Below are 13,059 nucleotides of genomic sequence, written 5' to 3'. Positions count from 1 at the left end.
CTCCTTGGGTTTCAAGGACCTTCTCTCTAGGAAGTATGGCCTCCAGGGTCTCCTGAGCCTAAATGCAGGCAGTGAAAGGGAAGGAGCCGTGGACTTATTAGGGCTACAAGTGGAAACCTGGATCTTGAGTGCACACACACAGCCACCCTTCTGGCAGCATCCACCATGCCTCTCCTCCCCTCCCCAGATCCTGACCACTGCAGCTGGAAGGGAAGTTAACATCAGTGCATGCCTGGCACTGCCCCCTGGTTCTCCTCTCAGGCCCTGAGCAGAGCTGCCCATAGTCCATCATGCCACATTGTTTCTGGAGGCCACCTGGAAAAGCAAGAGGAGCAGGAGAGGGTATACCTTCCATCTGTCCCACAAGTCTATACCACCCCCTCCCAGAGACTTCAAGCCCTGGCATTCAACTGGGGCCTGGGGCAGGTTCCCAGATGTTTTGTTTGTTTTTGTTTTTGTTTTTGTTTGAGATGGAATCTGGTTCTGTCGCCCAGGCTGGAGGGCAGTGGTGTGATCTCAACTCACTGCAACCTCCACCTCCCAGGTTGAGGCGATTCTCCTGCCTCAGCCTCCTGAGTAGCTGGGATTTACAGGCACATGCCACCACTCCCAGCTAATATTTTGTCTTTTTTTTTTTTTAGCAGAGATGGGGTTTCATGGAGTTTCACTATATTGGCCATGCTGGTCTTAAACTCCTGACCTAAGATGATCCTTCTGCCTCAGCCTCCCAAAGTGCTGAGATTACAGGTGTAAGCCACCGCACCTGGCCTATTTTTTTTTTTTTTTTTGAGACAGAGTCTCCCTCTGTTACCCAAGCTGGAGGATAGTGGAACATTCTCGGCTCACTGCAACCTCTGCCTTCCAAGTTCAAGTGATTATCCCACCTCAGCCTCCCGAATAGCTGGAATTACAGGTGCCCATCACCACGCCTGACTAATTTTTGTATTTTTAGTAGAGATGGGGTTTCACCATGTTGGCCAGGCTGGTTTTGAACTCCTGAACTCAAGTGATCCGCCCACCTCATCCTCACAAAGTGCTAGGATTACAGGCATGAGCCACCATGCCCAGTCCCAGATGTCTTGAGGATCTGATTGGACCCCCAGGCAGATATCTGCAGCCCAGGGGGCTGGTGTTCACCACAGGGCAGGGCAGGCACCCTGGGAAGGCTTGACTGGACCCAGCTCACCCAGTACCTGTTTCTCTCAACCTCTTAGGAAATCTGAACAGGTATGCAGCAACCACCTCCGGACAAGGCCTTTTCAAAGTATAATTTTCAAACATGTAAAAAAGATGACTCATATATATCATGAACACATATCAAAGATCTACTACGCATCAATTCAGAAAAAGAGTGGGAACTCTGATTCATGGATCATTCTGAGAAGCTGGGTACATGTATTTCATGTATTTGTAAGCATTCTTTTGTTTTGTTTTGTTTTTGAGACAGGGTCTCGCTCTGCCACCCAGGCTGGAATGCAGTGGTGCAGTCATAGCTCATTGTAGCCTGTTCCTCCTGGGCTCAAGCAATCCTATTGCTTCAGCCTCCCAAGTAAATGCAACTACAGGCACACACTACTATGCCCTGCTGATTTTTTAAATTTTTAGTAGAGACAAGATCTTGCTATATTGCCCAGGCTAGTTTCAAACTCCTGGGCTCAGGCAATCCTCCCTCAGCCTCCCTAGGTGCTGGGACTACAGATGTGAGCCACTGTGCCTGGCCCGTAAACACTTTAAGAGAAGAATGCTAGAATAAGATTGTGATATTACATACGAAAGTGGTTAATTAATGAAGTTTTCTTTTCTTTTTTTTTTTTTTTGGTTTTTGTTTTTTTTTTTTTTGAGACGGAGGCTCATTCTGTCGTCCAGGCTGGAGTACAGTGGTGCGATCTTGGCTCACTGCAACTTCTGCCTCCCGGGTTCAAGCAATTCTCCTGCCTCAGCCTCCCGAGTAGCTGGGATTACAGGTGCTCACCGCCACACCCAGCTAATTTTTGTATTTTTAGTAGAGATGGGGTTTCACCATGTTGGCCAGGATCGTCTCCATCTCCTGACCTCGTGATCTGCCCACCTCGGCCTCCCAAAGTGCTGGGATTACAGGTGTGAGCCACTGCGCCCGGCCATGAAGTTTTCTTTTCTACGGGATAGACACCCACAAGCTAATAAGTAACTTCAGTGTCTGGGCTGTAACCAAACAATAAATAGCAAAGTCAACACAGGCACAATCCCCAAGATTAGGATCAGCAAACGTTTTCTGTAAAGGACCAGACATGCAGCTCTCAGTCACAACCACCATGCCATGTAGCATGAAAGCAACCACAGCCAATGTGTAACAAATTAGCATGGTATGTGTGGCCAGGGGCAGGGCTCATGCCTATAATCCCAGCACTTTGAGAGGCCAAGGCGAGAAGATTGCTTGAGGTCAGGAGTTCGAGACCAGCCTAGGCAATAAAGTTGGACCCCATCGCTACAAAAAGTAAAAAGAAAAAAACTAGCAGGGCGCCGTGGTGCCTGCCTGTGGTCCCAGGTACTGGGGAGGCTGAGGCAGGAGGACTGCTTGAGCCCAGGAGCTTGAAGCTGCAGTGAGCTATGATCTCACCACTGCACTCCAGCCTAGACAACAGAGCCGAGATCATGCCACTGCACTCCAGCCTGGGCGACAGAGCGAGATGCTATCTCAAAAAAAAAAAAGAAAAAAAGAGAAAAAAAGAAAAAAAGTGATAAGGGTAATAATTCCCTGAGGATATAACCTCCACACTTCTGGGTCACCCTGGAAAAGCTTGGGTCAAGGATGCTACCCTTGGCTAGGAACAGTGGCTCACGCCTGTAATCCCAGTACTTTGGGAGGCTGAGTGCAGTGGCGCAATCTCGGCTCACTGCAACCTCCGCCTCCCGGGTTCAAGCGATTCTCCTGCCTCTGCCTCCCAAGTAGCTGGGATTACAGGTGCCCACCACCACGCCCGACTAATTTTTTGTATTTTTAGTAGAGATGAGGTTTCACCATGTTGGCCAGGCTGGTCTCTAACTCCTGACCTCAAGTGATCCGCCTGCCTCAGCCTCTCAAAGTGCCAAAGTGCTAGGATTACAGGCGTGAGTCACCGCACCCAGCCTACCCATATCACTTTCTGTTCCTCAGCAGTTAAAGAGGTGCCCACCCACTTCGCCTGGAAAGTCAGATTCTGTGTGGGGCTGTTGCAGAATGAGATTTCCTCCTGCCAGGGTGCAAGAACTCAAGTAGGAAATGGGCCTTCCCAGAAGGGGTAGATGCTCCAGATTTCCTCAGCACTGTAGCTGCTGCCCAGCCTTGGAGAAACAGCTGCCAAACTGTTAGGGCTCTGGTAGCTCCTCTGAGACCCCAGTCCCTGTTGCTTCAAACAGCTTAAGGAGGGCCTTTATGCTAAACTGTAGTCTGCAAAGCAACCAAACCAAAAAGGGTAAGATACACTTATCCACCTGTAGGGTCCAGCCCCACAGGGTCGGTGGGTTTCTCTCCATGTGCAGAGACGAGAGAGCGCAGAAATAAAGACACAAGACAAAGAGATAAAAGACAGCTGGGCTGGGGGGACCACTACCACCAAGACGCAGAGACCAGTAGTGGCCCTGAATGCCAGGCTGCGCTGATATTTATTGGATACAAGACAAAGGGGCAGGATAAGGAGAGTGAGCCATCTCCAATGATAGGTAAGGCCACATGGGTCACGTGTCCACTGGACAGGGGCCCTTCCCTGCCTGGCAGCCGAGGCAGAGAGAGAGAGGAGAAAGAGAGAGAGACAGCTTACACCATTATTTCTGCTTATCAGAGACTTTTAGTACTTTCACTAATTTGCTACTGCTATCTAGAAGGCAGAGCCAGGTGTACAGGATGGAACATGAAGGTGGACTAGGAGCGTGACCACTGAAGCACAGCATCACAGGGAGACGGTTATGCCTCCGGGTAACTGTGGGCGGGCCTGTGGAGGAGTAGAGTCTTCTCTAAACTCCCCCGGGGAAAGGGAGACTCCCTTTCCCGGTCTGCTAAGTAGCGGGTGTTTTTCCTTGACACTAACGCTACCGCTAGACCACGGTGGGCTTGGCAACAGGTGTCTTCCCAGATGCTGGCGTTACCGCTAGACCAAGGAGCCCTCTGGTGGCCCTGTCCGGGCATAACAGAAAGCTTGCACTCTTGTCTTCTGGTCACTCCTCACTGTCCCCTCAGCTCCCATCTCTGTATGGCCTGGTTTTTCCTAGGTTATGATTGTAGAGCGAGGATTATTATAATACTGGAATAAAGAATAATTACTACAAACTAATGATTAATGATTCATATATAATCATATCTAAGATCTATATCTAGTATAACTATTCTTATTTTATATATTTTATTATACTGGAACAGCTCGTGCCCTCGGTCTCTTGCCTCGGCACCTGGGTGGCTTGCTGCCCACATCCACCAAGTGCACTTTGGGAGGCTGAGGCTGGAGGACTGCTGGAGGCCAGGAGTTCAATACCAGCCTGGGCAACATAGGGAGACCCCCCCCCCACCATCTCCAAAAATAAAAAAAAAAATAGCTAAGTGTGATGGCACATGCCTGCAGTCCTAACTATCGGGAGGCTGAGGCAGGAGGATCTCTGGAGCCCAGGAGTTGGAGGCTGCATGATGGCGCCACTGTACTTCAGCCTGGGCGACAGAGGGAGACGCTGTCTCTAAATAATAATAATAATATATAAAAAGATATACGTAACCCTACGGGCTCCCCTCTCACTGCTGTATACACCTGCCTCCTTCTGCATCCCTCACCCAATTGTCCCTCCCGGCTAACAAGCCAGCTGCACCCCCCAGGCAGAGGTCCTGCAGCAGTCGGTATAGGCAGCCTGGGCAGGGGGCTTGTCATAGATCTGCCTCTGGCCACGAGATCTTCTGCTCCCCCTACGGCTGCTAGCCGCAGCTGTCCACTACCCCTTAGCTTTATTCTCTCTATTCAGGGGCCTCCTGCTGCGCACTCCAAGGGGGTGCACGTTTCCAAAGAGAGATCAAGGGACATGGGGAAAGGAGAAAGGTACAGCTTGAGGTTCCCGCTCAGCCAGGACTAGGAGGCCTCTGTAGGGGCAGAACAGCCCTGCTGGCGCTCTGAGCATGCGCCGAAAAGCGCCCACGGGGAAAGCCATGCCGGGGTGCGGGGTGCGGGGTGGGGGGGAGCGGTGCGCTCGCCACTGACGCATGCGCAGAGGCACTGGTCTCTCTCGGGGTTTTCTCGCGCCTGCGCAAGATCCTCCAGCCCAACGGGGGGCGATGAGCCGATCCTTGGGCGGGTTTGCCCCGCCGGAGTAATCCGGAAGAGGCCTCTTATTAGGGCTCTGGTGGCGGCGGTGGCGGACACTTGGGGTCTGGACGCAACGGCGGCGGGAGCATGAACGCCCCTCCAGCCTTCGAGTCGTTCTTGCTCTTCGAGGGCGAGAAGTAAGTGACGCCGGCTGCGGAGGGCCTAGGTGCGCGGGCCTGCGGCTGTCGCATTCTGGGGTGTCTCCTGCCCATCTCTTGCCCCGGGAGGGAAACAGCTTTTGCTTGATCGTCTGCTCGGCCTGTGTCAGCCAAATTTAAGGCCGTTCCGCGAGGCAGTCGCGAGTGTGTCCATGTTGCAGATGAGGACACTGAGGCTTGGAGGCGAGCAAGTTGCCCCGGACACAGGAAGTGGCGGCGCTTGTATTCGAACCCAGAGTGTCTGGTTCTCCATAGCCCTTTTCCTCTGGGATCTGGCAGCTTCCTCTTTTTGTCTCTCGCCCGCCACCTCCATCCTTCATCCCCTCCGATCTGTCAGCGGCCTGCGTAAAAGCCGCAGTGGCTCCTCGCTGCCTGCGGGTTGAAGGAGTCCAGGGGAGAGAGCTTGGGCTCACTCTGTATCTGTGGGCGAGTGGCTTGATCTGTCGGAGGCCCTGTTTCCTCATCTGGAAAATGAGTTTATTACTGTACTTAAACGTGGGATTCAGGCCGGGTGCGGTGGCTGACACCTGTAATCCCAGCACTTTGGGAGCCCGAGGCGGGCGGATCACCTGAGGTCGGGAGTTCAAGACCAGCCTGACCAACATGGAGAAACCCTGTCTCTACTAAAAATACAAAATTAGCCGGGCGTGGTGGCAGATGCCTGTAATCCCAGCTACTCAGAAGGCTGAGGCAGGAGAATCACTTGAACCTGGGAAGTGGAGGTTGAGGTGAGCGGAGATCACGCCATTGCACTCCAGCCTGAGCAACAAGAGCGAAACTCCGTTTCAAAAAACAAAAAAAGGGATCTGGCCAGGTGCGCTGGTTCACGCTTTTAATCCCGGCACTTTGGGAGGCTCAGGTGGGAGGATTGCTTGAGCTGAGCACAGGAGTTCCAGGCTGCAGTGAGCTTTGATCGCATCACTGCACTCCAGCCTGGGCGACTGAGCGCAATCCTGTCTCAAAATAAAAAGAATTGGATGAGGTAATTTGTGTAAAACTCTTGGTCCAAAGCTCAGCCCCTGGAAAACCTCATAACCATTGGCTCTTATTGTTCCCAGGTTGGCGTGCAGAGGTCTTGGTCTGGCCCTTGCCAGCCACTTCGGCCTCCTTTAGAGCAGACTCTCAACTGGGGACCATTTGGCCCCACAAGGGACATGTGGCAATAACTGAGAACATTATTGGTTGTCAAAGGGGGTTATGACTGGAATCTACTGGGTAGAGGTCAGGGATGCTGCTGATGTCCTACAATGTCCACAAGACAGCACCCCACAGGAAAGAATGATGCACCCTAAAATGTGTGTGGTGTCAGCCTGGAGAAACCACCTTAGAAAAAAGGATATTCAACTTGATACCTCTCACCTGTGTGAGATTTTACTGTCAGCATAGTTGCCCTCAAATTGAGTGTGCATTAGAATCACCTGAAGGGCTTCTTAAACCATAGATCCCTGCGCCCCACCTCCAGAGTTCTGGGTCCAGTAAGTGGGAGGTGGGAGACTCTTAACAAGTTCCCAGGGGATTCTGATGCTGCTTATCTGGGAACTGCACTCTGAAAACCCCTTGTCTTGGAAAATCCAATGGAAGTTTCCTGTCTTTGTCCATCTAAGCGTTCACTAAAATCATAGTAAATGCCAGAGCATGACTTGTTTTGGGGAATGGATGGAAGGACTGCACACTCCAGCCAGGGGGATGGTTGCTTTCGGAACTCACAGGGTCAGGACCAGCCTCACCGTGTAACTTCAGGGCCTCTCTTCTTCACCTTTTGGTTGCTTCATTATGTTGGCGTAAGAAGAAAGGAACAGGCCAGGCATGATGACGTGCGCCTGTGGTCCCAGCTACTCAGGAGGCTAAGGCGGGAGGATCACTTTAGCCGAGGAGTTGGAGGCTGCAGTGAGCTATGATCACACCACTGCACTCCAGCCTGGGCAGCAGGAGAGATCATTTGAGGCGAGGAGTTCAAGACCAGCGAGGACAACAAGGCAAAACCCCATCTCTACCGGAAAAAAAAAAGGAGGAATTCAGAAAAGGCCAAGGTTCCATAGACCTGGGGTAGCAGGAAGTAGGGGACCGGGTTGGCGAGGCCTTTATGGGATGAAGAGATTGAGAAAGGCCTTCAGGAAGAGGCAGAGCTTATTTTTCCTTTTTATTTTTATATTTTTGATACAGAGTTCCACTCTGTTGCCCAGGCTGGAGTGCAGTGGCATGATCTCGGCTCACTGCAACTCCACCTCCCAGGTTCAGGTGATTCTCCTGCCTCAGTCTCCCAAGTAGCTAGGACTACAGGCATGGATCACCACACTCAGCTAATTTTTTTTTTTTCTTTGTATTTTTAGTACAGACAGGGTTTTGCCATGTTGGGCAGGCTGGTCTTGAACTTCTGACCTCAGGTCATCCATCCACCTCAGCCTCCCAAAGTGTTGGGATTACAGACACGAGCCACCACACCTGGCCGGGAGGAGACAGGGTTTAGACTCAGGGTGGGAGGAGGGGAGCCCCTGCTCCTCATCTGTGGCCTCTGTGTCTTCCTAGGATCACCATTAACAAGGACACCAAGGTACCCAAGGCCTGCTTATTCACCATCAACAAAGAAGACCACACACTGGGAAACATCATTAAATCGTAAGTTTCCCGTCACAGGCTCTCAGGGGCTATGTTTAATGGGCCCCTCTGGGCAAAGCACAAGTTCCAAGTCTTCCTCAGTCTCTCTGAGCTACAGGAAGTCCTTCTGGGGGCTTGCTCTGGGCATTTTATAATCTTGGTACCTTTTTATCAAAATGACACCGACCTCCATGTCTTCACATAAGCCACACTTCTGTAGTGGCTTATTCTGTAGATGAACACGTGCATTTACATTCACTGTTTTTTTGTTTGTTTGTTTTTGAGATGGAATTTTCTCTCTTTGTTGCCCAGGCTGGAGTGCAATGGCACGATCTTGCTCACTGCAACCTCCGCCTCCCGGGTTCAAGTGATTCTCCTGCTTCAGCCTTCCTAGTAGCTGGGACTACAGGCCCACGCCACGATGCCCGGCTAATTTTTGTGTTTTTAGTAGAGACGGGGATTCACTGTGTTGGCCAGGCTGGTCTCGAACTCCTGACCTCAGGTGATCCACCTGCTGGCTTCCCAAAGTGCTGGGATTAGAGACGTGAGCTACTGCGCCCGGCCTTACATTCACCATTAAGTGCACATTCTGTAAATGAACGAGCAGCAGATTCCAGCACAGTAGGCCTGTTTGTTATTCATGCTGAGGGACATTGAAAAGCAGTCAAGATTAGCTCCCCTCATGCCACCCGTTTGTGACCTCAGTGCCACCTGGGCCTCTAAGATGTATGTGGCAGAGACTAGAACTTCTATTTAACAAGAGAAAGAAGTAGGAGTTCTGTGGCTATCCAGTGCCCCTAATGGGCACCCTGCATTGGTTGGTGGGTGTTTGTTTATACCAGTGAGGTCCTAGCCAGGTGGTTGGTCAGGGATGTGTCTGCCATTCTGGCCCAGGGACTTGCCATTTTACTGTAGACTTGGCTCTTCCCTCTGGTGCCACCAGCGAAGCCAGGCTTTTCCCCGTCTGTGAGTGGGGTCTGCCCAGTCTCCTGGTGTGGTCAGGCACGGGGATGGAGGAATCCTGCCTGGAGCCCAGCCAGTGGGGCACCCAAGCTCTCCTGGGGCCCTGCTGCTCCCCTGCTCTTGAGCTCAGTGTTGCCACCTATGCACGGGTCCCCCTTGTGGTGCTCACGCCACTCTGAGCCGCTCTAGAGGAGACCCCTGCGTGCCCAGGGCACAGTACGCGACGCAGCCCCATGGCACAAGGCCCAGTGTGCGTGGCCAGCCGCTGGCGGCTGTGCTGCTCGGAGGGCAGAGTTCCATTTGCATTCCACTCACTGCCGGGAGCTGGCCCTCCTCTCCTGCTGCCTTTATTTGCTGCGTGGATGCTCTTTGTGGGCTTTTTGGGTCTGAGTCACTGAACACTGGCTGGACATTCACTGCCTGGGAGATCTCTTTGCCAGCACTGCGGTGCCCGGTGGGAAGAGGTTGCTGGAATCTCTTTCCAGCTCGGGTCCTTCAACCTCATGGATGCAGAGTGTGTGTGTGTGGCGGGGATAGGGTGTCCCCACATGAGGTATCTTCCTAAAAGTGTTACTTTCCTTGAAGACTTTTTGGGAAAAAAGTTGGGGGGGATTTTTGGCTAGAAAGTCTGTTCTTCTGCTCTGAGCTGGCTGCTACCCAGCTTGGGCATGAGGCTAGACCCTCACACTGTCTGTCCCTGGACCTCAGACAACTCCTAAAAGACCCGCAAGTGCTATTTGCTGGCTACAAAGTCCCCCACCCCTTGGAGCACAAGATCATCATCCGAGTGCAGACCACGCCGGACTACAGCCCCCAGGAAGCCTTTACCAACGCCATCACCGACCTCATCAGTGAGCTGTCCCTGCTGGAGGAGCGCTTCCGGGTGAGGGCGGGGCCTGGAGGGGCAGACGGGGTGGGCTGGACACTGGCCCGTGTGCCCAGGCCTGGGACAGCCCTGGCCTGTTTCTTCGGAGGTCCTCAGGGAGAGGCGGCGGTGATGGAAGAACAGGGACTTCCACCACAGGCTCCAGGACATGTGGACTGAGGGGCTGTGGAGTCTGGGCCTGTGGCTCCCGTCTGCCCCATGGGACTTCTGTAGTGCTGCAGGGTCCCTCGGGTGCTGTGGGCCAGATCCGGGCGGGGACCTACTGTCCTTTGGGGGTGCTCTTCTACGTCCCTTGTCGGTGATTGGCAAGGCCTGGTCCTTCCAGGCCTCTGGGAGGCAGCTCACCCCAGGGTGGCCCACACCTGTTCCTAGCAGGGCGCCTGGGAATCTAGAACAGTTTAGAGGGGAAAGAGCCACAGCAAAGAAAAGCCGAGGCAGGGTGATCACGAGGTCAGGAGTTCAAGACCAGCCTGGCAAACATGGTGAAGCCCTGTTTCTACTAAAAATACAAAAATTAGCTAGGCATGGTGGCATGTGCTGTAGTCCCAGCTACTCGGGAGGCTGAGGCAGGAGAATCGCTTGAACCCGGGAGGCGGAGGTTGCAGTGAGCCGAGATTGTGCCACTGCACTCCAGCCTAGGTAACAGAGCAGGACTCCATCTCAGTCAATCAATCAATCAATCAATCTCAGCGGTTGAACTACCCTTGACATGGTTCAGCTCTGTATCCACACCCAAATCTCATGTCAAATTGTAATTCCCAGTGTTGTGGGAGGGACCTGGTGGGAGGTGATTGGCTCATGGGGGCCGACTTCCCCCTTGCTGTTCTCGTGATATTGAGTGAGCGCTTGTGGGATCTGGTTGTTTAAAAGCGTGCAGCCCTCCCACTTCACTCTCTCTGTCTCTCCTGCTCCAACATGGCCAGACGTGCCTGCTTCCCCTTCGCCTTCTGCCGTGATTGTCAGTTTCCTGAGGCCTCCCCAGCCACGCTTCCTGTACAGCCTGCAGAACTGTGAGTCAATTAAACCTCTTTTCTTCATAAATTACCCAGTTTCTCATAGTTCTTTATAGCAGTGTGAAAACAGACTAATGGACCCTTCTGGTTGAAGGAATGCAGCCATTCTGCTTGTTTGACTATGTCCTTTCTATTCATCTCTATTTCCTGGGAGGTGTTTATCCAAGTGCAATAGGAGGTATTGGTGACCGCACAGTCCCCTCAGTGTTCTGCTAGTAAATAGTTGAAGGTTGATCATTGATCTTCTGCGTTTTCAGTCTGGCATGGAAAAGCCCCTGTGCAACTGGTAAAGATATCAATAAGCACCAGGAGGTATCTAAATCCACCAGGAGCCATAGGCATCACGTTGACGTCCATTTACCAGTCTTCCCTGGCAAGATTCTTCTGAATTGTGCTGCCTTGGCCAAAAGAGGTATGGGAGGGGCTGGGCGCAGTGGCTTGTGCCTGTAATCCCAACATTTTGGGAAACCAATTCAGGTGGATCGTTAGAGGTCAGGGGTTCAAGACCATCCTGGCCGACATGGTGACATCCCATCTCTACTAAAAATACAATAAGTTAGCTGGGTTTGGTGTTGGGTGCCTGTAATCCCAGCTACTCGAGAGGCTGAGGCAGGATAATCGCTTGAACCTGGGAGGAGGAGGTGGCAGTGAGCTGAGATCGTGCCATTGCACTCCAGCGTGGGCAACAAGAGTGAAACGTCGTCTCAAAAAATAAAAAAAAAGTCCGGGCTTGATGGCTCACACCTGTAATCCCAGCACTTTGGGAGGCCAAGACGGGTGGATCACGAGGTCAGGAGTTCAAGACCAGCCTGGCCTAGATGGTGAAACCCTGTCTCTACTAAAACTACAAATATTAGCTGGGCATGGTGGCATGCACCTGTAATCTCAGCTACTCAGAAGTCTGATGCAGGAGAATTGCTAAAACCCAGGAGGGAGAGGTTGCAGTGAGCCGAGATTGCACCACTGCACTCTAGCCTGGGCGACAGAGCAAGACTCCGTCTCGAAAGAAAGAAAGAAAGGAAATTCCCCAGGGAAGTACCTCGGCTGATTTCATAAACAGGTACCGAAGGAAGCAGAGGCATGTGGAGGACTTCCCCACCTCATGCAGCTATTTGGGCCGTGGCGTCTGAAATTTATTATTTCAGAGTCACCCCTTTGATGACCTTGGCAGTGAACTGCAGTCATCTGTTTAGGCCTTTCCATGGCCCACGTCAATGCCGTTATTTCTGTTTGTTGCACATTTGATTTCCTTGTTGTTGGCATTTAGAAGGCCCCCTGCTTCCCAGATCACACCACGGGCATGGACCACAGAGATTGCATCTTGTGAGTCTGTAGAAATGGTCAAGGCCTTGTCCTCTCTTAGGTCCAGAGCTCAGGTGAATGCAGATTTTCCCGGCCATCTGTGCTGAAGTCCCTGTGGGGAGGCTCCTGGCTGGTTTCCTGTAGGTAGACAGCTACACGTCCTGCCCTTCATTGGCTTCTTTTCATGAAGCTCCTGCCATCTACAAAACATGTCTCCCTTCTTGAATCACATCTCTGTTATTGAAACTCTAGAAGTCAACCGGGCATGGTGGCTATGCCTATAATCCCAGCATTTTGGGATGCCAAGGCGGGTGGATCACCTGAGGTCAGGAGTTCAAGACCAGCCTGGCCAACATGGCGAAACCCCGTCTCTAATACAAATACAAAAATTAGCCAAGCATGGTGGTCACTGTACTCCAGCCTGGGTGACAGAGCAAGACTCCGTCTCAAAAAAAAAAAAAGAGAAAGAAAGTATCATGCTTTTCTGCATTCTGTGAATTGTTTTAGTGAGTTATCGAACTTGAGGGCATGGTGGGAACCTCCAAATTTGCAGCCAGTTGGTGAGAAGTACATGTGGTCTGAGGACACCCAAGCCTGCAGGTGTGTCTAAAGCGAGGGCAGCCTAGTGGGGACTGGTGGCCTTAACCTGTGGCATTTGAGGTAACATCAGGGAGTTGACATCAGAATTGCATCACATAGGCTGGGCGCGGTGGCTCACGCCTGTAATCCTAGCACTTTGGGAGGCCAAGGCGGGCAGATCACGAGGTCAGGAGATCGAGACCATCCTGGCTAAGACAGTGAAATCCCGTCTCTACTAAAAATTCAAAAAATTAGCCAGGCATGGT

The 13,059-nt window shown here is 52.1% G+C and overlaps 1 protein-coding gene and 1 long non-coding RNA gene across 2 annotated transcripts in view; both read left to right on the top strand.

Annotated features, from left to right (window-relative positions):
- The first annotated feature begins 5,322 nt into the window (after positions 1–5,322).
- On the top strand, positions 5,323–10,940 carry POLR2J2 (RNA polymerase II subunit J2). The gene is made up of 4 exons (NM_032959.7): positions 5,323–5,434; positions 7,982–8,071; positions 9,722–9,896; positions 10,823–10,940. Exons 1-4 carry the CDS (start codon positions 5,385–5,387, stop codon positions 10,853–10,855), a joined length of 348 nt encoding a protein of 115 aa, NP_116581.3. The 5' UTR covers positions 5,323–5,384; the 3' UTR covers positions 10,856–10,940.
- The window catches only part of POLR2J2-UPK3BL1 (POLR2J2-UPK3BL1 readthrough), a 34,639-nt gene continuing 26,902 nt past the window's right edge, over positions 5,323–13,059 (top strand). Inside the window, exons 1-4 of the long non-coding RNA NR_173352.1 lie at positions 5,323–5,434; positions 7,982–8,071; positions 9,722–9,896; positions 10,823–10,909. This is a non-coding gene — a long non-coding RNA (POLR2J2-UPK3BL1 readthrough). The remainder of the gene's footprint in view (positions 5,435–7,981; positions 8,072–9,721; positions 9,897–10,822; positions 10,910–13,059) is intronic.

This window comes from Homo sapiens, chromosome 7, assembly GCF_000001405.40.
Source record: "Homo sapiens chromosome 7, GRCh38.p14 Primary Assembly".
In the NCBI taxonomy this organism is placed as follows: Eukaryota; Metazoa; Chordata; class Mammalia; order Primates; family Hominidae; genus Homo; species Homo sapiens.
This window is presented reverse-complemented; position numbering and strand designations above follow the sequence as displayed.

Bases quoted from the DNA above. Each gene is read 5' to 3' on its own strand.
- POLR2J2 (NM_032959.7), top strand. From the start codon at position 5,385: ATGAACGCCCCTCCAGCCTTCGAGTCGTTCTTGCTCTTCGAGGGCGAG. The intron at 5,435-7,981 runs GTAAGTGACGCC...GTGTCTTCCTAG, and splicing joins TTGCTCTTCGAGGGCGAGAA to GATCACCATTAACAAGGACA. The intron at 9,897-10,822 runs GTGAGGGCGGGG...CAACATGGCCAG, and splicing joins TGCTGGAGGAGCGCTTCCGG to ACGTGCCTGCTTCCCCTTCG.